General features: G+C 38.6%; 1 protein-coding gene across 8 annotated transcripts in view; it reads left to right on the top strand.

The window, feature by feature from the left end:
- Positions 1-23,194, top strand: part of FSIP1 (fibrous sheath interacting protein 1) — a 185,402-nt gene that overhangs the window by 40,550 nt on the left and 121,658 nt on the right. For all 8 annotated transcript variants that reach the window (XM_011521305.4, NM_001324338.2, NM_152597.5 and 5 more), the window contains 4 exons: positions 392-487; positions 2,503-2,627; positions 4,091-4,201; positions 15,545-15,703. In XM_011521305.4, the coding sequence (XP_011519607.1) occupies positions 392-487; positions 2,503-2,627; positions 4,091-4,201; positions 15,545-15,703 (491 nt within the window). The remainder of the gene's footprint in view (positions 1-391; positions 488-2,502; positions 2,628-4,090; positions 4,202-15,544; positions 15,704-23,194) is intronic.

Below are 23,194 nucleotides of genomic sequence, written 5' to 3'. Positions count from 1 at the left end.
GGACCTAAAATAAAAAGAGAAAACCATAATTATAGTTACTCAGTATGCATATTCTCTGTATTATGAACATCAAGATTTGGATGCATTATCTCTGGAGAGTTAATGTGTTATTTTAGCACACTCTTACACATCCTTTTTGTGCTTAAGTTCTAGGGAAATGCTGTTTAACTATCTTAGCTTCTGTAGTTTGTTTCATTTGGCTCCTGTATACAAAGGTGATTGTCATTTCTACTTGGAGGTGACATTAACATTGTCTTAAGAAATTTATGTGTGTGGAGGGGACTGAGGAACACTGGAGAGAATATTAAATGTTATCTTTTTAAAACAATTTTGTAGACAACTACTTAATTTATTTTGTGAGCATTGAACAAGTGATTTTTTAAATCAACAGGTCCTTCTCATGAGGAGGAAGACACCTTTTCCTCAGTGTTTCATACTCAAATCCCTCCAGAAGAATATGAAATGCAGATGCAGAAACTCAATAAAGGTATATTTAAATTTGTGTGATTATACACATTTTCACAAGGGAATACTGGCTGTATACAGAAATATTCATAAATGAAATAAGTTCATGTAATTTAATCCAAAGGTAAGTGGAAGCAAGTAGAGTTCAAGATGACACAAGATTGGTTATTGTTGCAGCTAGTTGTTGAGAGTTTGTTATACCATTCTACTTTGGATGTTTGAAATTTTGTATAATAATAAAGAGTTTTTAAAAAAAGCTGGCTGCAAGTAATGAAAACCTGGCTTAAGCAAAAACAAGTCTGTGAAAATGATTTTGGTGGGAGGCAGCTTTCTTTGGTTCCCAAGAGCATATGCTGTGGTTAGTCATTCAGAGGTTGGCTCAGTTCTGCAATCCTAGAGAAGAGCCTGAGTGATCCAGCTGGGTCAGGGGCCTACCCCTGGCTCAACCAACTTGTCCAACCCAGCAAGGTTTGGGGTCACTGTAGGAACATGGCAGCTATGTCAATACCAGACTGGAGAGGAGAAGAGGACATTTCCAGTGAAGACAGTTCTGGCCAGATAACCCAATGTGTTTTCCCTACTGTTTATTAGAAATATGTTTTAAAGGAGCTCTGTGATAAATGTAAACATGGCTGCATTCAGTTTGTATTTTTTAAATGTTGTATTGGTTAAGAGTATATGAAACTTCAACTGAATGAATAAACAAACCTCATATTTCAACTAAAAAGACTGTATACAACTTGAATTATGGAAAGAAGTGTTATATTTTGTATCTATTAGGCCACTCACCAAAAAAGTAACTCATACGTTAACTATGGGTAGTTGATTTAAAAGATAATTACGTGATTGTTAAAAAATAAAACCCCAGGTATAAAGCATAGGTTTATTTGCCTATATAAGCTATAAGCTTATATAACTTAATAACTTAAGTTATAAGCTTATATAACTTAAATTTGAGTAAAATTTTTTTTTACTCAAAGCTACTTCTGTTTGAAAAGAATTTTAATCAAGAGATCTTACTCTTTCTCTCGTTCTTTCCAGCTATTTTCATCAAAAAAATTTTAAATGGTTATATCTGTATTGACTCTTTGATAACTAGCTATAAACACACCAGTTGACTAGCTCCTTTAATCCTTTATGTTCAGGTAACCTCCCTTATAAAACAAAATTAAATTTTATATAAACTTTGTCTGGATTGAGCTTGTGACTGGTGTTTTTTTCCTTTGTGGACTTGATTGTGGAAATGCATCCTGTTTTGTAGGGTGAACTGCATGTGTTGTATAAGGAGACATTCCTTCTTCGTGCATATTTTCAGAGCTTTAATGAAGGGTTCACATGATCTTGTTTTAGAATATTTTAATGCGACACATAGAAAACAAGATATTTTATAAAGGGAATACGAGTCCACAAGTATTTTTCTTATTCTTATTTTGAGCACTCGGTGTCTGAATATCTCAGACATTGACTCAAGCCTCTTCCAAAAGGTTGAGGAAAATTGGCCAACTGAGATGGGCTCTAGGGGTTTGTGCAGATGGGAGCTAGGACATGGGACGCTAACTCCCAGACCTTGCTCAAAAGACAGGCAAAACAAAATGCACTGTTCAGAAAGGGTAATGGCAAATTAATAGAATAGCAGGGATGACCTAGCCTTTAGGGAAATTTTTGTTTTGTGTCAAGACTGAAATAAAAAATATATTTTAAAGTCTCCCTAACATCAGCGATTTCTTCTTCTCATGTCTGTCTTGAAGTTCTATTGATATTTCCCATCATTCTCATGGAATCAACAGGAAGAAGTTTGATACATGATAATGAATTACACAAGAAGTTTTATGAGAACTTCATTTGAAGTTACAGTAGCACATTTATCTTTTTAAGACTAGATCTCCATTATATATTAGGTTTCTGGATCTGGAATGTAGAAGTTAGTTCTTCTGTGTGTGTTTTAGTTCTTATATATTTTAATATATGCTTAAAGTGAACTTTTAGCATAATTGACACTTTTAATTATGAAAAAATTTTGAACTTTTTTAATATTAGATTTTACCTGTGATGTGGAAAGAAATGAGTCATTGATCAAATCAGGAAAGAAACCTTTCTCGAATACAGAAAAGATTGAGCTCAGGGGTAAACACAACCAGGATTTTATTAAGAGAAACATTGAGGTATGTACTTAGAAATTCAGAAGCCAGAATTTGGGGCTAAATGAGTTGAAAAAAATGGCAATAGTTTTGTTCAGTGTCTTTAAATATTTTTCAACCATCATAAATGTATAAATGATTGAATTAGTAGATATAATGAAAGAAAACTTTTATGAACCAGTACTTCATTATTTCTATGTTCAACCCACTACATCCTATCCTATCCTATCTCTTTTTAAAAATGGTAGGTGCATCTATCATTTATTTCACTATCCAGAAATAGTCTGTTTCCTGCAATTTGCAAAACATTTATTCAGATAATAGCTTTGGACAATGTTTCTCAGATTTTAAATTGCATATTAGTAAAATTGTTTTTTTTTAAGTAATGAGACTGATTTTGTAGCCAGTACATTTAGAACTTTGAATGGAAAATGCTCCTGGCAGAGCAGCAGGGCTGGGCTGGAGAAGCCAACTGGTTGTCCGCCTCTTCTCTGGACGTCCCAGCAGCTGGTCACTGGCCTTCATTAGCTTCTGCTTCAAGCACCTATCTTTGGTCTTACAGGCCTTGCAGCCTGTCTTTAAGGCAGATTCAAACTAAACAAGGGCGCAGGGGTTCCTGGGTTAGACCAGAATGTGAATTAATTAATTTACAACAAGAAATGTAGTGAGGAGGACAGAAGCTCTGCACACCCTTGAGCAGAGTCACTAGAAAACTGCATGGGCGAGTGTGGAGTATTGACAAGAGAGAGTTAAGTAATTTTTTACCCTTCAAGCCTGATGCTTTCCCCATAATTGGCACATCATTTCCAGGCAAACTGGATTCGTGGGGCAGCCTGCCACTGCCAGGACTGGCCTCTGGGACTCTCGATTTTTGTGCTCCACATTCATATGATCTTCTTCAGGAAACCTCCATCTTGTTCTGTCTCTGTCTTTGCAGTGGCCTGTTGTATGTTTATTTTCTGTTCAATTTTCCTAGAGGAGTAGAGTTCCCCCCTTATCCAGGTTCTTGCTAACACAGATAGCAGGTCTACCGTAGATTTCTCTTTCCCCTTTTTAATAGTAACTGAATATTTAAATTCCTCATATGATAGTCTTGAAATTTAAAAGCACTTTCATTTAGTGGATAAGTACCCCAAAGAAAGTGGCAAGAAGATTTCTTCCAAATGTCTCAGCAAGTATGTTTTTGCATTTATATTTTTTATCTATAGTAGAGAGGTTTGAAAACTGCTCATATTATTTTTTAATAAAATGTCTGTTGGAGTGGTTAACAGCAGGGCCTGCTTATAGGGATAATATCTTTGGATATTAGAGAATGGCCCTATATAAAAATTTTGGTATAAAATAAAATTACCTAGAAAATGTAAAATGCCTAATCTTGCAACTTTTCTTTGTGTATCTGTAGTGTAGAAGTCTCAGATTCCATTTTTTTTTTCCTGAACTGTGAATTTCCTTGAGTATATGATATTTTCCATTAATAAATTCTGTAGTTGGCCAAGGAATCAAGAAACCCAGTGGTTATGGTTGACAGAGAGAAGAAAAGGCTGGTTGAGCTTTTGAAGGACTTGGATGAGAAAGATTCCGGGCTCTCCAGTTCTGAGGTACGTAAACTCTGATAGGGAACACTACACTTCTTAATTTAGATTTTAAAAAATAATATTATTGGCCCAGTATCATAAATTTACAATAATTTTTCGGATTCTGAGACATTATTCTTTGATTTTAAAAAAACCCTGTTTTACTAACACAGGAACAGATAACAAAATACCGCGGGTGTTCTCACTTTTAAGTGGGAACTAAATGATGAGAACACATGGACTCATAGAGGGGAGCGACACACACTGGGGCCTGCTGGAGAGTAGAGGCTGGGAGGAGGGAGAGGATCAGGAAAAATAACTAATGAGTACTAGGCTTAATACCTGGGTGAAAAAATAATCTGTACAACAAAGCCCCATGACACAAATTTACCTGTATAACAAACCTGCACATGTACCTCTGAACTTAAAATACAAGTTAAAATTTTTTTTTAAAAATCCTGTTTTATACAATTATTTTTATTGAGGTTTTCAAATTTATTCTTGGTCAATTCATTATTGACTTTCAAAGGATTATTTAATGTCATTCTAAGCAGTGTTTACACATTGGTTATCACAGTAACTTCTTCCTGTGATGTGATGTGCTTATTACTGATGACATATGAATGTGTTTTTCTGTCTCCTTTTCTTATTGTCCCTAAACTGGTTTTGTGGTATTTCAGTGTAGTCTTCTTCAGTAATCCTAAAGAATTCCGTCCTGTTCCTGCCCAGTTAACTTTGAGCACACAGTTCCCTGGAGAGTCCTGGGGTTAACAGGAGGGCCTGCTTATGGTGATAAGTCCGGGTGGGTACAGACTAAAGTGAAAGAGGGGAACAGCATGTAATGGGGGTGAGGTGGGGCAAACGCAGGTATTTATAGGGCCCGGGAAGGTCACCTAAAGAGTGCTGTGGCCCAATGTTTGCACTTGTTTACATACTAAACTTGAGAAATATCCTTTGCTTCTGTGAAGAAATACACTGTCCTATGTTCCTTGAAGCACTTAGCTCTATTGTATATCTTTTATTCCCCTGCATTTAATAAGGACATGATGGAGTGAATGCTGCTGGCCCCCTGCCCATATCCCCTTTCCCTGAAACTGGTCTGTGCATCCACGCCCCAGCCCTGTGCTAAGGGTGCACAGCTGTCCCCTTCCCCTGAGAATTTCCCTGAGCCAAACAGCCCAGGATATCACTCCCTCCCCACCCTAGGCCCCTTACCTAAATGTGAGATTAGCTCTCTGGTGCAGTGTGTCCTCCATAGCTTCCCCAGGGATCAGACTGAAGCTGAGCTTCAGCTGAGACCACATCCTCGCTTGGCCCTGTGCCCTTGCCCTCGGCTGTTTTCCTCATGTCCCTGGTCCCAAAGGCACTCTCCCAGTGAATTACTTGAACAAGAATCCTTGTCTTAGTTTCCACATCTAGGGACACAGAGATTCAGAGCGTAGTTTTTTTTGCTATAAGTCTAAAAGCAGTGCATGTGCAGTGATCCCTGTGGCCCACGGGGGAGGAGGGTGTGCCCGTCCAGTGGGAGGTAACACTCAATGTCTGCTGCATGGAAATCCCAGGCCAGGCCTGCCTGGATCCTCCAGTTTTTCAAGGGAAGCTAGAAATTCAGATTTTTTTGTGAGAAACATTAAACTTGTAAAATGTTCACAACTGCTCCTATTTAAAAAAGTTCTGTGTGGGCAAACAAAATATCCCTCCCTTCCACCAAAAAGCAAAAACATATCTACAGAATATCACACATAATAATCCTCTAAATAATCCTTCCTGAGATGGTGAGGTCCCAGCGGGGGCTGTGTCTAGGAGCAGGTGAAGGTGTTGCTATGCCTGGGGCTGATGAAGTAGGGGAAAGGGGTGGGTGAGGGAAACTGCTAAATGCCCACATAATTCTGAGATATTTCAGCTTCGCTGGTTCATGGTATAGTCATGTGCCACATAATGATGTTTTGGTCAACATGCATACATGACAGTGGTCCCATAAGATAATAATGGAGCTGAAAAATTCCTGTCACCTAGTGACACCGTAGCTCTATATTTTAGAGTGTGCTCCTTGTACTTACATATAAAAAAGTGAATTGTAAGACAGCTTCAGGCAGGTCCATCAGGAAGAATTTCAGAAGCAGGCATTGTTATCATAGGAGATGACAGCTCCATGCGTGTTACTGCCCTTGAAGACCTTCCAGTGGGACAAGATATGGAGTGGAAGACAGTGATATTGATGATCCTGACCCTGTGTAGACCTAGGCTAATAGGTGCATTTGTGTCTTAGTTTTTCATAAAATCTTAAAAATAAAAAAAGAAAATTTTAAAATAGGAAAAAGCTTACAAAGAAAGAAAATATTTTTGTACAGTTCTATACTGTGTTTATGTTTTAAGCTAAGTGTTATTATAAGAGAGCGAAAAAGTTAAACAAATTTAAAAGTTTTAAAAGTAAAAAAGTTACAGTAAAAATTCCTTTATTATTAAATAAAGAAAAATATTTTAAAATAAATTTAGTGTAGCCTAAGTTTACAGTGTTTATAAAGTCTACAGTAGCAGCCAGTAATGTCCTTGGTGTTCACAGTCGCTCACCACTCACTCACTGACTCACCAGAGCAGCTTCCACTCCTGCAAGCTCCACTCATGGTTAAGTGCCCTTTACAGGTATGCCATTAAAAAGATTTTTATACCATATTTTATTGTACCTTTTCTATGTTGTAATATGTTTAGATTCACAAATACTTCCTATTGTGTTAACAATCACCTACAACACAGTAACTACAAAACATACTGTACAGGTTTATAGCCTAGGAGCAATAGGCTTTACAATGTGGCCTGGGTGTGTAGTACACTCTACCATCTAGGTTTGTGTAAGTACACCCAATGATTTTTGCACAATGACAGAATTGCCTAATGGTACATTTCTTAGAACACATATTCCTGTCGTTAAGCGACACATAACTGTAATTTGTCTACTTTATTAACAAAAGCTTAGATACCAGTAAGAATTAAGGGATCTGGGTTTCATTCTGGTTTTGTTATTAATTGTAAAATTGGGTAAACTGCTACCCATGGTCTCACTGCGTATCAAACTATGGCGATAGATTTTCTTGATACATTCTAGGAATGCTTTCATAATGACTTTTTGTTAATAATACTGCCTTTTGCATATTATTTTTGTTAGTATTTATGTCTCATCTTTCTAGTTTAAGGTCATCTCTATCATTTTAGTTTTTGATCTTTTACAAGTACTATGTAGCTGGGCTTTTGCTGTTGCTTTTGTGTCTTTATCTTTAATTGTTTCTTCATCCTTTATCTTTTGTTATTATCAATATGAGCATATTTAATTTGCTCATATTCATTACGACCGCATACTTTTTGAATCTTTTCCTGACATCAAACTTTATATTTTATTTATCATATTTGTTTTTGTTTATCTCCCTATCCTCTTGTGGTTTGGAAACTTAATATCCTATTTCTGATCTGGTACTGTTAACCTTCAAGTTTTAAAAATACATTAAAATGCGTATTTTCTTTTCAACTTCAATAATTAGTTTCTAAAATTTCATATTTTAACAAGATTGGATCTTTGGTGTACTTTCATTTCCCTTGTGTTTCATTTTCTTTCCTCCAGGATATATTGAAATCATCTGGAATTTTAGTTCTAGAATACTACACATTTTAGTTTTTACCTTTAAAAACAGTATGCTTCTTGTATGTTAGGAATCTCTCTAAACAAAATTTAGCCAAAATTTTTAGCCACATCATTAACTGTGTATTTGGACTCAACGAATTATTTATTTGTATAAATCATTCCTTGAATTATTTTTCTGGAACTTTTTTGAAAAATTTTGCCCCAAGAAATGGTGAAGTGTGGATAATTTTTGAGTGTTTGTGTATTCAAATATTTATTTTTTCCTCATTTGAATGTTAGCTTAGCAGATGACTAAATTCTACTTGCAAAATCCTTTTTTTCTTGAAGCATGTAGGATTTTCTCCTTATTTTGGAGTTCACAATTTTATCAGATTATATTTGTGTGTGTCTTTAAAAACATTTCAGTTCCTGCTTGGTACCTTGTAGGCTCTTTTCACCTGAAGGTTCAAATCTTCCTTCAGCTCAGAAAATTATCTTATATTATTTCTTCCTTTCCATCATCTCTTTTTTCTCCTTTTGGGAGGTATCAGTTGAGAATGTGATTGGCTGCCAGTAACAGTGGCTTAAACAGTAAAGAGTTTACTTTTTTCTAGTAACAAGAAATCCAGGAGTGAGCAGCTCATGTCTTTCTGTCCTCCTGTTCTACATTCCTATGCGGATTTTGTCTTTAGGTTTGCAAGATTGCTGCTACATCTGTAGGCAGTGTGTCCATTTTCCAAGCAGACAGAAAGAGGGAAGGGTAAAAAGCAAAGAGACTGTCCTCTGAGGCTTTGCTTTTTCACTGGGGATGGAATGGTGTCCCCAGGACTTCTACCTGCATCTCAGCGGCCAAGCTGTATCGCGTAGCCATTTGTTCAGTATGTTGCTGCAAGTGAGAAGGGGGATTCAGGTATATGACTTACTCTTTTTTTGTAGTAGAGGTAGAAATGGGGATCATGTCAGTCAGTAGACAGTGTCTGCCACAGGTGGCTATAGGACCTCTTGGATTTCTCTTCCAGGTCTTATAACATCTTTCTCATAATGTTAATCGTTTTTGTCATTTTGTACATACGAGCTCCTTCTACAGTTTTCTAAGTTGGGTTTCAACCATGTTGTTCTGCTGCTTAGCCATGTAGCTCTCTTTTGAGATTTTTAAAGGCAATTGTTTTTAGGCCCAGCGTGGTGGCTCACGCATGTAATCTCTGCACTTTGGGAGGCCAAGGCGGGAGGATCACTTGGGGCTAGGAGTTTGAGATAACCCTGGCCAATATGGCGAAACCCCATCTCTACTAAAAATACAACAATTAGCCAGGTTTGGTGGTGCATGCCTGTAATCCCAGCTACTTGGCAGGCTGAGGCAGGAGAATCGCTTGAACATGGGAGGTGGAAGTTGCAGTGAGCCAACTGCACTCCAGCCTGGGCAACAGAGAGAGACTCGTCTCAAAAAAAAATATTTACACTAATATTTACTGAGAGTTCTTTCTGCAAGTCCTCTTATCTGATGTGGGAGGTAAACATACAGAAATTCTAGAGTCCGATGGATGGTGACAAATGTTAGAATAGAAATTCAGAGGAAGAAGCAGTGCCGCAGGAAAAGTTTAGGAAAACTTTGAAGAAGGAACCTATTTACTATATTCTCAAATCATACCGAACTTCTTGCTGTTCCTCAAATTCTCTGTGTTCTTTTAAATCTCTGTGTTTTCAAATGTGCCCTTTCCTTTATGAAGTGCCCCACAACCTCATCTTTGACAAATAAATGCACAGCTTAAAGAAGACTAAATGATATGACTAAAATGATAATTATGTTTTAATTCCCCTGAACTCTTGTTCTCTAGTTGTTTTTTTTAGTAGCATGCATAATTTTTTTTTTTTTTTTTTTTTTGAGATGGAGTTTCACTCTTGTCACCCACACTGGAGTGCAATGGCACGATCTTGGCTCACTGCAAGCCCTGCCTCCCGGGCTCAAGTGATTCTCCTGCCTCAGCCTTCCAAGTAGGTGGGATTACAGATGCCTGCCACCACCCCTGGCTAATTTTGTATTTTTAGTAGAGATGGGATTTCACCATGTTGGCCAGGCTGGTCTCGAACTCCTGACCTCAGGTGATCTGCCCACCTCAGCCTCCCAGAGTGCTGGGATTACAGGCGTGAGGCACCATGCCCAACCGTCATGCATAATTTTATGGATGTAATCTTCTCTTGAATCTCTCTAGGACGGGGACTGGTACCAGTTGGGCCCATGGCCTGTTAGGAACTGGGCTGCACAGCCGGAGGGGATGAGCGGTGGGCTAGCGAGCATTACCACCTGAGCTGTGCCTCCTGTCACATTAGCTGCAGCATTAGATTCTCACAGAAGCACGAACCCTGTTGTGAACTGTGCATGGGAGGGATCTAGGTTGTCTGCTCTTTTTGAGAATCTAATGCCTGATGGTCTGAGGTGGAACAGTTTCATCCTGAAACCATCCTTTCTAACCCCATTCCCCCCAGTCCATGGAATAATTTTCTTCCAGGAAACCTGTCCCTGGGGCCAAAAATGTTGGGGACTTCTGCTCTAGGATACTTACTTAGAATTTAAGAAATATTTTCATCTATGTTGGGAACTCACACTTGCAGTGAATGGCACCCGCTAAGCTAGATGTCTCTACTACCACCCTCACCAGTGAAATGGGTTTGCATCCGATCTCAGGTCACTCACATCTAGTAGTATTGAGTCGGGGAGTCTGGTGGTGGACCCTTAGTTACCTACCTGAACCCTGGCTATAAAGGTTGCTGGTGAAAAGCATTTTCTGTTCTGTCTTGGGAAGGTAAGTTTCCTAAAAGCTAGAAGTTCCCCACACATAGCAAGGGTGTATAGAGGTGCTAGACAGATAGAAAAAAATGATGATGCCATTTACTACCTTTTACATATATCTTATTTCTGTAACGGCATAGTGCATAAAACATATACATTTCTGGTGAATTTCGTCTGACATACTCTTTTAACTTCAGTGTCATATGAAAATAATCCCATTCAGACAGAACTTAAAATTTATTAGCCACTATTTCATCATCGATTTCATAGTTTTACTTTTTTGTGATTCTTTATTTTTTATCATTTAGGCTATATGGTATTGACATCACTTTTATTTAGGAAAAATTACCAGAGTTTGTGAGTAATTAGGTAATATAGTATATTTTAAAAATTATGCATAACTTTCTTTTTTTTTAAGCTGTCCATGTTTATTTTCAAGGGAGAGCAATAGAATTTAAATCAGAACCTGGAATTCTGTCAGTTTATCAGAGTTGTGTGCCTTTAGCTAACTGAACCTCACTGAGGATCAATTTCTTTATACCAACTTACAAGTGTGTTTAAAAACATTTATGACTATATCATAATCCTTATATTGATATACTACAATCTACCCACTTTCCCCCTATTTTTAGACGTTTTATTATAAATAGTGTGACAATAAATTTTTTATCAGTCACCGTTCTGGGTTGCAAGTAACAAAGATGGACTTTGGCTAAAGCAACAGAAAATGAATTTATTGGGAGTCTTGAGTAGTCCATAGACTCAGTGGGAAGTTTGGGGAACCAGGTTTGTACACCGGGCAGATGTCCAGGCAGCCATAAACATGGCTTTAGGAACAGCCTGGTTAGGGGCTGGCTGCTGTGGCTCCGCAGCCACCAGACGTTTGCTTTCCACGAGATGCTCATTGCTGCCACCATCACTGTCCCTGTTAATCATTTCCCTGCACCTTTGCTTCTGTCCCTCAAGGTTTGGGGTGTTTGCTTTCAAATAGCTGAATCTAGGTCATTTGTTTGTCTTCCTGATATCAGAGGGTGGGGAGGAGTGTCTTGTCGTGATCCTCCCCTGCCAAGACTCACACACTGTTTGGTTTCACTGAAATGGACTGTGAATGCCAGGGTCAAGAGGATAAAAATATAAAAGTTTTTGTGCATAAAGTTTTTACCTATAATGCCTCTGATTATCACCTAGGGCTTAGTTCCTGGTATTAACATCGTGAAATCAAAATGTATGAAATAAGTTTCTTTGCCCTCTACTTGACACGTTATTCCAAATATTCTTCATGATTCTTCTGTCCTCTTTTTGCAGTAATGCTTCCCTTTATGACCTTATCCATTCTCATAGCCCCCAGGGTTTGAACCACTGTAGATATGTGGGTAAGTCAAGTGTGTTTATTTAATCCCAAGCCTCTATCTTGAATTTCACATAAACATATTTAACTGCCTAACATAATCTGTGGATATCCTAGGGGGATGTCTGCCAGTTTCAAAAGGTCCCAAACAATTCATTATCTTTCTCTCCAAACCTACTTCATCTATAGAATCCCTAGTTTAGATAATGTGACCACCATAACCTACTTCACAAAATCAGGAACTTGTTCTTTTTTTTTTTTCTGGTAAGGCCACAACAAAGTTTATTATTTTTTAAGTTGTTTATTTTAAATCAATAAATACTTTTATTTTAGGTTCAGGGGTACACATGCAGGTTTGTTCTGTAGATAAATTGGATGTCACAGGGCTTTGGTGTACAGATTATTTCATCATCCTGGTAATAAGAATAGTACCCAATAGGTAGTTTTTCCATCCTCTCCCTCCTACCACCCTCTGCCCTCAAGTAGGCCCCAGTATCTGTTGTTCCCTTCTTGTGTCCATGTGTACTCAATGTTTAGCTCCCACTTATAAGTGAGAACATGCAGTATTTGAGTTTTCATTCCTGTGTTATTTTGTTTAGGATTATGGCCTTCAGTTGCATCCATGTTGCTGCAAAGGATGTGATCTCATTCTTTTTTATGGCTGCATAGTATTCCATGGTGTGTATGTCCCAAATTTTCTTTATCCAGTCTATTGAAAGGCATTTAGGTTGATTTTTGTGACTAGTGCTGCGATGAACATACGCATGCATGTGTCTTTTTTTTTCTCTCCTTAAGACAGGGTCTTACTCTGTCACCCAGGTTGGAGTGCAGTGATGTCGTCATGGCTCACTGCAGCTTCGACCTCTCAGGCTCAAGTGATCCTCCCACCTCAGCCTCCTTCGTATCTGGGACTACAGGTGCATATCACCACATTTGGCTAATTTTTAAAATTTTTTTGTAAAGGTGAGGTTTTGTCATGTTGCTCAGGCTTATATTGAACTCCTGGGCTCAGGCCATACACCTGCCTTGGCCTCCTGAAGTGCTAGAATTATAGGCATGAGCCACTGCACCTGGCCTGCATGCATATGTCTTTATGGTAGAATGATTTATATTCCTTTGGGTATATACCCATTAATGAGATTGCTGGGTTGAATGGTGCTTGTGTTTTAAGTTCCTTGAGAAATTGCCACACTGCTTTCCACAATGGCTGAACTAATTTACATTCCTACCAGCAGTGTATAGGTGTTTTTCTCTGCAGCTTTGCCAGTATCTGTGATTTTTTGACTTTTTAGTAATGGCCTTTCTGACTGGTGTGAGATGGTATCTCATTGTGGTTTTGGTTTGCATTTTTCAAATGATTAGTGATGTCGAGCGTTTTTTTCATATGCTTGTTGGCTATGTGTATGTCTTCTTTAGAAAATTGTCTGTTTGTGTCTTTTGCCTACTTTGCTCTTTGCTTATTAATTTGTTTAAGTTCCTTATAGATTCTGGATATTAGACCTTTGTTGAATGCATGGTTTACAAATATTTTCTCCCATTCTGTAATTGTGTTTACCCTATTGATAGTTTCTCTTGCTGTGCAGAAGCTCTTTAATTAGGTCCCATTTGTCAATTTTTGTTTTTGTTGCGATTGCTTTTGGCATCTTCATTATGAAATCCTTGACAGGGACTATGTCCACAATGGTATTTCCTAGGTTATCTTCTAAGGGTTTTATAGATTTAGGTTTTACTTGATTTTTGTATATGGTGTAAGGAAGAATTCTGGTTTCAGTCTTCTGCACATGGCTAGCCAGTTATGCCAGCACCATTTATTGAACAGGAGTCCTTTTCCCCATTGTTTGTTTTTGTCAACTTTGTTGAAGATCAGATGGTTGTAGGTGTGTGGCTTTATTTCTGGGCTTTCTCTTCTGTTCCATTGGTCTATGTGTCTGTTTTTGTACTAGTACCATGATGTTTTGGTGACTGTAGCCTTGTAATATAGTTTGAAGTCAGGTAACATGATTTCTCCAGCTTTGTTCTTTTTGCTTAGGATTGCCTTGGCTATCCAGGCTCTTTTCTGGTTTCATATGAATTTTTTAAATAGTTTTTTCTAATTTTGTTAAAAATGTCATTGGTAGTTTGATAGGAATAGCATTGAATCTGTAAATTGCTTTGGGCAGTATGGCCATTTTAGCAATACTGATTCTTCCTATCCATGAGCATGGAATGTTTTTCCATTTGTTTGTGTCATCTCTGGTTTCTTTGAGCAGTGCTTTTTAATTCTCATTGTAGAGGTCTTTCACCTCCCTGGTTAGCTGTATTCCTAGGTATTTTGCTCTTTTTATGGCTATTGTGAATGGAATTGCGTTCTTGATTTGGCTCTCAGCTTGGGTGTTGCTGGTATATAGAAATGTTATTGATTTTTGTACATTGATTTTACATCCTGAAACTTTGCTGAAGTTGTTTGTCAAATATAGGAGGTTTTGATCAGAGACTATGGGGTTTTTAGGTATAGAATCATGTTGTCTGCAAACAGAGATAGTTGAACTTCTTCTCTTCCTATTTGAATGCCTTTTATTTTTTTTCTCTTTCTTGGTTACTCTGATTAGGACTTCCAGTACTGTGTTGAATAGGAGTGGTGAGAGTGGGCATCCTTGTCTTGAGGAACTTATTCTTTATCCTTGATCTTTATGTCTGCCTTTACTCTTCCATAAAATTATCTCCAGGTTCTGTAAATTCTACTTCCTGTGTATCTCTGGATTCTGTTCTGTGTTCCCAGAAAACATTCCTTAGTTCAGCCATTCAGCACTTGTGTTCTAGATTATAGCTATTGCTTCTTAACTGGTCTTTCTGCTTCCACTCTTGCTGTCAGTAGTTCCAGTTTTAAAATACAGACCTGATCATGGTGTTTCTTTGATTAAGGTCTTGTTTTCTCCAGCCCCTTCCTGCTCACAGAGGTTAGTTGATCCTCTCTGGTTCCCATGGTGCCCAGAGCTTACCAGCACTCTTCACACCTTGTTAAAATTGTTGCTGCCAAGAAATTGAGAACTCCTCGAGGGCAGAACCTTGTGATATTCATATTGAATCACCAGTGCCTAGCATAATACATATGTTCAGTAGGCATTATTTTTGAATGAATGTAATGAATGGGTTTGATGAGATAATATGGAACAAACATTAGTTGAATGAAAGATGATCAATTAAGTTTGTGAAACCCAAGCAACTGATTTTATAGATGCTATGTTACTTTTAAGGGACAGAGTTTGAAAATACCATGTCCCATTACAGGGTAAACCTGATTTCTTCCTACTTAACATGTCACAAAACATTTTTTGAATGTAGATAAATGAGAATGTCATGAGAACCAGACTGTGAAACTAAAAGATTTGTTCCACAGGGGAAACCCCCCTTAAAATATTAGAGGATACTTTATACAGGCTGGCAGATAACAAAACCAGAAACTATTTCATATTATTCTTTTACTAACCCAATGTTAATTCTGTTTGTGTGTGTTGTGTGTGTGTGTGTGTGTGTTTGTGTGTGTATGTGAAGACCTGGGCACTGTTATAGCCACTTGAAAGGTATATTTTGGCAAAAATATAGCCTGAGAATGACCTGGTGACCCTTGTTTCCTCTTAGGGTGATCAGTCTGGCTGGGTGGTCCCAGTAAAAGGATATGAACTTGCAGTCACCCAGCATCAGCAGCTTGCTGAAATTGATATAAAACTCCAAGAACTCTCTGCAGCCTCCCCTACAATTTCCAGTTTTTCTCCAAGACTTGAAAATCGGAATAATCAGGTATTTGAAGAACCCATAGACTGTTCAAGTTAATGTGTGCTAAAGCTGTTCACATAATTTTACAATCTGGTTGTTAACCAGTTGCTTTTTCCAGTGATCATAGTTTCATAACAGTGTGTATATTCCTTTGGTTACTTCCACTTTCTACTCACTTTTCTTTCATTTGGTAATTTTCTGGGATGCGGTCACTGAGGAAATATTTCTTTTAATATTATTATATCTCTATGATTTAAGCTAAATCTCGATCATGATCAAGAGAGAGGGGAGGGAAGAAAGCGGATATGGCACTCACGAGTCCTTTGAGAGCCTTATTTTTCTTTATTCCTGTGGCACTAGGTATTAGCAATGACAGCCATTGTCCCTTACTCCACCACATTCTTTTATCTCCTTTAATTTAACATCAAGCAGTGAAGCTCATTATGTTGACTTCTCTCCTATGAGAGTTTTGAAATGAATGTGTTTCTTCTCTCAGTAGTTCCCTCAAATACTCTTTTACAAAGCAGGTGCGGTGGCTCATGCCTATAATCCCAGCACTTTGGGAGGCCAAGGTGGGTGGATCACTTGAGGTCAGGAGTTCAAGACCAGCCTGGCCAACATGCAACATGATGAAACCCTGTCTCTACTAAAAATACAAAAATTAGCTGGGTGTGGTGGTGCATGCTTGTAATCCCAGCTACTCGAGAGGCTGAGACAGGAGAATCGTTTGAACCCAGGAGGTGGAGGTTGCAGTGAGCTGATATAGTGCCGCTGCACTCCAGCCTGGGCAACACAACGAGATTCTCTGTCAAAAAAAAAAAAAAAATCTGGTAGAAGGTATGGCATATCAGAAAATTAAATTTCTCCCTCAACCCTATATTTTAGTACTTCATGGAATCTGGTTTGGTTTGGGTGGTAGACTGAGGAGAAAATGTCTGATTGCATAAGAGAGTAATAACCCTGTAGCAGCTTTGTAAAACTTTTCACCAAATCATTTTCTCTACAATTGTAGATGACCATGATCTTTGTGGACCATCCAAAGATTTAAATATCAGTAGCCTATAGGTAATCCTTCTGATTCATAGTAAGCACTTTCTCTAAGCTGTCACTTGAAGGCTGGGGATCTAGCTTCATGCCAGTTGAAGCAACCTCAGGGGAAAGGAGCAGTGTGAAGGTGTTCCAAGGAAACAGTTTTGTGACTGGTTGTATTTCTGGCGGACAGGAACAGCTGCTTCTGACCCTTTAAACAGCAGTAGTGGTGCTGTTGTTCTCACTATTGATTTGAAATTCTGCAGTGGGATTAGAATTCTTGGAAAACAGAGATAATTGGAATCTTTGTCTTCACTCAAATGTGTCCCAGGACTTTGTATTTTATTTTATTTTGAGACGGAATCTCGCTCTGTCACCAGGCTGGAGTTCAGTGGCGCGATCTCGGCTCACTGCAAGCTCCGCCTCCTGGGTTCAAGTGATTCTCCTGCCTTAGCCTCCTGAGTAGCTGGGACTATAGGCATGTGCCACCATGCCCAGCTAATTTTTGTATTTTTAGTAGAGATGGGGTTTCACCATGTTGGTCAGGATGGGTTCTATCTCCTGACCTCGTGATCCGCCTGCCTTTGCCTCCCAAAGTGCTGGGATTACAGGCATGAGCCACTGCATCCGGCCGTATCCCAGGACTTTGACATGAGTTAGGCTAGTTTATTTATGTTACTGAATTCTATTTTTCAAAAAGGAGGAACCCTAGATGGGATAATAAAATGTTTCACAGATACTCTATTCTTTTCATGTTTCAGTTGATTTTTGTTGTTCTTGTTAGATTTCAAGGGTAGCTGAAATCTCAGAGCTGAACTGTGGTCTTAAATATAGAAAATGTTTCATGGCTGTCAAATGAAGTGAAGTCTGTGAAGTCCGAGGCACTGATATAGCCATCCAAAAGATGTATTTTTGGCAAAAATATAACATGGGAATGACCTGGTGACCTTTATTTCCTTCTCTTCTTAAAAGAGACAGAGAATTCAGAGATTTGTTTGGCTATTAGGACTTCAAATAAAAAGTATGAATATGGGCCAGGCGCAGTGGCTTATGCCTGTAATCCCAGCACTTTGGGAGGCTGAGGCGTGTAGATCACGAGGTCAGGAGATCGAGACCATCTTGGCTAACACGGTGCAACCCTGTCTCTACTAAAAAATACAAAAAATTAGCTGGGCGTGGTGGCGGGTGCCTGTAGTCCCAGCTACTTGGGAGGCTGAGGCAGGAGAATGGCGTGAACTCGGGAGGCAGAGCTTGCAGTGAGCCAAGATCGTGCCATGCACTGCAGCCTGGGCGACAGAGTGAGACTCCGTCTCAAAAAAAAAAAAAAAAGTATGAATATGGTCCCATTTTCTTATCATCAGCAAAATCACATTTTCAGAGTTCACATTTATGGTTCAGATAAGATATTTTAAAAATAATGAAAGGGAAAACCAGTACCTTACATTTTTGTTACATACTGAGATTACGTGTTTTTATGTGAAATAACATATATTTGGAAAGAAAAGGGAAAACAACATTTTGGGACTCACATTGGATGTAAAAACAAAAATGTAATGTAGTTGTTAAAAAGAAATAATTTATGCTTCTTGCATGCAAAAATAAAGAATATCTTTTGAGCTTTTGTTCAATTTCCCTTTGGCATTTCTTCATTTCTAACTAAAACCAGCATTACACATTGAATTTTCAAAGCAGGAATGCTAACATGGCAAAGTATTTTAGGGATATTATTTTTGGATTGGACTACTTTTTGTATAAATACACTGTATCTTGAATAAACCCTGTGTATCTATGTAGTTGATGAATGAGTTCCAATCAGTTGCTAATCCACAAACATTCATAGTTCATATTCACTTTAACTCTTCTGCAAACCATTAACTCACCAGTAATTTTTCTCCATACTCCTTAAGAAAGAATTTCTTTTGAGTGGAATATAAATTTCTGTTTTTGAACAATTGATTCAACACATATTGAGTGCTCCTGGATGTAAGGAATTTTACAGAACTTAAAGATGAATCAGGCAAATAAAATACTTTGGAATAAAAAAGTCTCACTTCAGGCTGGGCATGGTGGCTCACGCCTGTAATCCCAGCACTTTGGGAGGCCAAGGCAGACAGATCACAAGGTCAGGAGATCCAGACCATCCTGGCTAACATGGTGAAATCCCATCTCTACTAAAAATACCAAAAAATTAGCCAGGTGTGGTGGCAGGCGCCTGTAGTCCCAGCTACTCGGGAGGCTGAGGCAGGAGAATGGCGTGAACCCGGGAGGCAGAGCTTGCAGTGAGCCAAGATCGCGCCACTGTACTCCAGCCTGGAGGACAGAGCGGGACTCTGTTTCAAAAAAAACAGTCTCACTTCAAATTTGACTTTTGCATTTACTAGTTCTGTGGACTTGGGCACTAATTAGAAGCTCTCCAAACCTCGTTTTCCTTATTTATAAAATAATAGTAATATTCTTTAAGGTTCTTTAGGTAATGGGTAGCTGAGTTAATATACATAAAGTGTTTAGCACAGTGACACAGATCTCAGCCAATTATGTTATTATAAGTGATATAAAGAACTTATTTCCTTATGGGAGGTATTGAGTATACGTAGAAAACTGTGGACAAGACAGCACAGGCAGGTGCCATAGAAAGCTTTTTTTTTTTTCTTCAAGAGACAAGGTCTCGCTTGTCACCCAGGCTGGAAGTACAGTGGTGCAATCATGGCTTGCTGCAGCCTTTACCTCCTGGGCCCAAGTGATCCTCCAACCTCACCGTCCCCAGAAGCTGGGACTACAGGTGCATGCCATCACACCAGCTAATTTTTTAATTTTTTTTAGAGGTGTGGTCTCACTGTGTTGCCTAGGCTGGTCTTGAACTCCTGGCCTCAAGAGATCCACCTGCCTCAACCTCCCAAAGTGCCCAGATTCATAGAAGGCTCTAAGTAAAGTGCTGTGGTGGTTTAGAGCAGAGAGAGAGAGAGCATATCCAAGGAGTATCCAGAAAGTCTATTTCCATAAGTGAGGGGCAGGAGAAGGAAGAGGAACTAGGGAAGGAGGCAGAGGGATCAGAGACACAGAAGAAAACCACCATTATGTATCACGAGGCTGAAAACTGGTGGCCTACAGCAGTGGTCCCCAAGTATTTTGGCGTCAGGGACTGGGTTTGTGGAAGACAATTCTTCCACGGGCCCAGAGAGGGGGATGGTTTTGGGATGATTCAAACATGTTACATTTATTGTGTACTTTATTTCTATTATTATTATATTGTAACAAAATAATTATACAACTCACCATAATGTAGACTCAGTGGGAGCTCTGAGCTTGTTTTCCTGCAACTAGATGGTTCCATCCGGGGGTAATGGGAGACAGTGACAGATCACCAGGTATTAGATTCTCATAAGGAATATGCAACCTAGATCCCTTGCATGTGCAGTTCATGATAGGGTTCACACTACTGTGAGAATGTAATGCCGCTGCTGATCTAACAGGAGGAGGGAGAGCTCAGGCGGTAACATGAGTGATGGGGAGCAGCTGCAAATACAGTTGAACTTGGGCCTGCCGCTCACCTCCTGCTCTGGGGCCCGGTTCCTAACAAGCCATCTACCAGAACCGTCCATGGCCTGGGGGGTCAGGAGCCCCTGACCTACAGGACAAATTAAGCTCCCAGATGGGTCTGCTTTTGCTTACAAAGGGTTTAATGATTTTTTTTAGCCAACATTTAAAAATTAGGTAAATTCCTATAAAAATCCAAATTTCTAGTTCTCTCTTGAAAAATTCAAATTAGAAAATATGTCAGCATTAGACCTAACTTCTTGCTTGACAATTACCGAATTGAGATGAATAGCAACTGCTCTTTCTATGGGGCACAGATTCTCCGGTTTGCTGCAGTATCCACCACTCTATATTGTATGGCAGGCCCTAAGGCCCACTTCATGCATTTATGTTACTTGTTCAGCCTTTGCAGAGATCGTCAATACATTTTTGAATGCCTGCTTATTTCATAGGAGACACTGTAGTGGTTGATGTAGTGTCCAGACTAGTATGAAGCTTGATCTCTGACCTCAAGGTAGCTTGTAGGATACCAGAGGATATGATGTAAACAATAGAACAAGTTGTGGAGTAACTGTGCAATGAAACAAGAACCACCACCAGATGGGCACTGATCAGATGAAAAGTACGGAAAGTGTATGCTGCGGGAGCACAGAGAAAGGAAAGGTTATTTGATGAAGGCATGATATTTTAAAAATTCCTTTGAAGATTTATCTTTGTTGGTCAAGAAAACAGTTTTCTGAACAAGTTGAAACATAGACTTTCTGACTTATCTCTGTATGGTAACTATAAGGTAGTAAGTTGGTATGCATATAGATTTAAGATGATAAATGTGGTTGAGTCAATGTGGTTAAGTCAGAATAGTTTGAGGAACTCTAGGAATGTGGCTCAGAGATGAAGGAGGTGTTGGTCTTTGTGAAAAGGGCAGATAAGAAGTCTTCTTTTCCTTATGGGCTCACTGATTGTGATGTTCTCATATAGATGCTCTGGCCCAGCACTTAACTTTATGGCAATGTTTTAAAAGCAGCATTTGGCTTTTACGTATCTGATTTCCTTAGCATAAAACAAAGCTTGTGGTCACAGTCAAAAGAAAGAATGGCATATTACTGCTCTTTCTGTAGTGTGAATAATATGTGGTTGCAGTTTTTACATCTGCTTTTTATTTTCATTTTGTCTTAGCAAGAGAACTAATTGAAGCAATTTTTTCTTAAGATCTGTGGTTTAACTGTGCATACTTTTCTTTATCCATCTCCTAACCCTCAACAAATCAGTTCGTTCTTTCCACGTATTGTAAATCCCACCATAAAACTGAGTGATGTTCTATAATTTAGTTACCATACTTCTTATTCGTAGAAGTATCAGATTCCAGTTCTCTCCAGAAATATCTAAGATATAGGAGTTATGTAAGCATTCAGTTTCTTAAATCCTTAGCAACCGGATTCAATAGTAAATTCTATTCCATTTGGCTGTTATATACAAGTATATTTTATTCATCTCTCATGAAGTCAGCTTTACTAAATCTAGAATTCCAGTTCACCGTTAGATTTTTTTTCTGGTTGGGGAGGGCCTCAGAAATGGCTCTCCTTGACAGGAGGCATTGCTGTGTTCTTAAACTAACTAGTTTAATTGAATATAAAGGTCCTCCTTAATTTGATTTATTTTCTTATTCTTGAAATATTGATTCAATTGTACACAATTTGATAAGCTTGAGAAAAAATTAGCAAACATTTGATTGAGGAAAATTGTAGTTTGTATTGATCTCCTTTCTTGCCAAGATCATGCTATTATTGCTGACAGCAACAATTAATTTTTTTTTGATGTCTTCCTGTCTCAATATTAGCTAAAATTGAGGAAATACAGACCATTGTTTGACATGTAATTCTGAAAGATGTTTTATTATTGGGTCCAGGGATTTGTATAGTTCCAGTAAGGGCCATGGACTCTACTTGACCCCAAATGTACTTAGGTGTGTGTTGGTTGAGGGCAGGAATTTAGGATTTTTTAAATGTATGCTAGTCACAGGCACAGAAATCTTATTGACCATCTGCTCATTTCCAAAACCCATAGAAGCCACAGGAGCATGCATTTCTGGGTTTGAGGAACAAACAAGAAGTTACTTCAGAGCTCTTTACCTCCAGTGCCAATCTGTTAGATCTCCAGTTAAATCTGGGAAACTGCCCTTGCCACCTCCATTTTACAGATTACTGTGAAGTTTATATTTCTTTGCTTTCCTCTGTTAAGCTTCTGATGTAGTCAAGGTTTCCTTCATTTTATGGCATTATTCCAAGGTGATAAAAACAATCTGCCTGAAGTATCTTTTTCCCTGCTTTTGGTACTGCCAGACACACGATCCATCTAATGACAAGAAATAGCAGGAACCTACAGAAATGTATAGCATTGTCTCGAAAACATAGGACAAGCTGTCTTTATTTAGGCAGGTTTGTATTTTCCCAATCCTAACGCATGCCTTATTTGCATATCAGATAACTTACGAAGCTGCGGGTAATTTGCTGTTTTTGATTTTTGAAAATGAGTTTATTTTGCTTCAAAGATCCCTTTTGGCCTAGTCAACACCACAGATAATTTTTCTAAGGATAAACTCAGAATCTCTTGGCAACCAATTAGTCAAATCAACAAGTATCTATTGATCTTGGCCTCAGGGACAGTTCTCTTCTTGTGGCATATGGAGGAGAGCTTTTATTGAATTCTCCATGAAGGCATTCCTGTATGACCCAGAAACACAGAAATGATATGTTGGTCAGATAATCTGATTAAATATTTCTACTATGAGAAATCAAGATATTTCCTGATGATCACGAGGACAGATAGTACTGGTTGGCACTTTGTTGTGAAAAAAGAATCTTTCCTGGCACCACAGAGCTTTTTGCAGCTGGGCAATTTTCATCAGCATCAGTGGCAACCTTTTCTTGCCCCCTCTTGGCCTCTGCTTTCATC

This window comes from Homo sapiens, chromosome 15 (assembly GCF_000001405.40).
Source record: "Homo sapiens chromosome 15, GRCh38.p14 Primary Assembly".
Lineage (NCBI taxonomy): Eukaryota > Metazoa > Chordata > Mammalia > Primates > Hominidae > Homo > Homo sapiens.
Note: the sequence above shows the minus strand (reverse complement) of the source record. Positions and strands in the feature narration are given on the sequence as shown.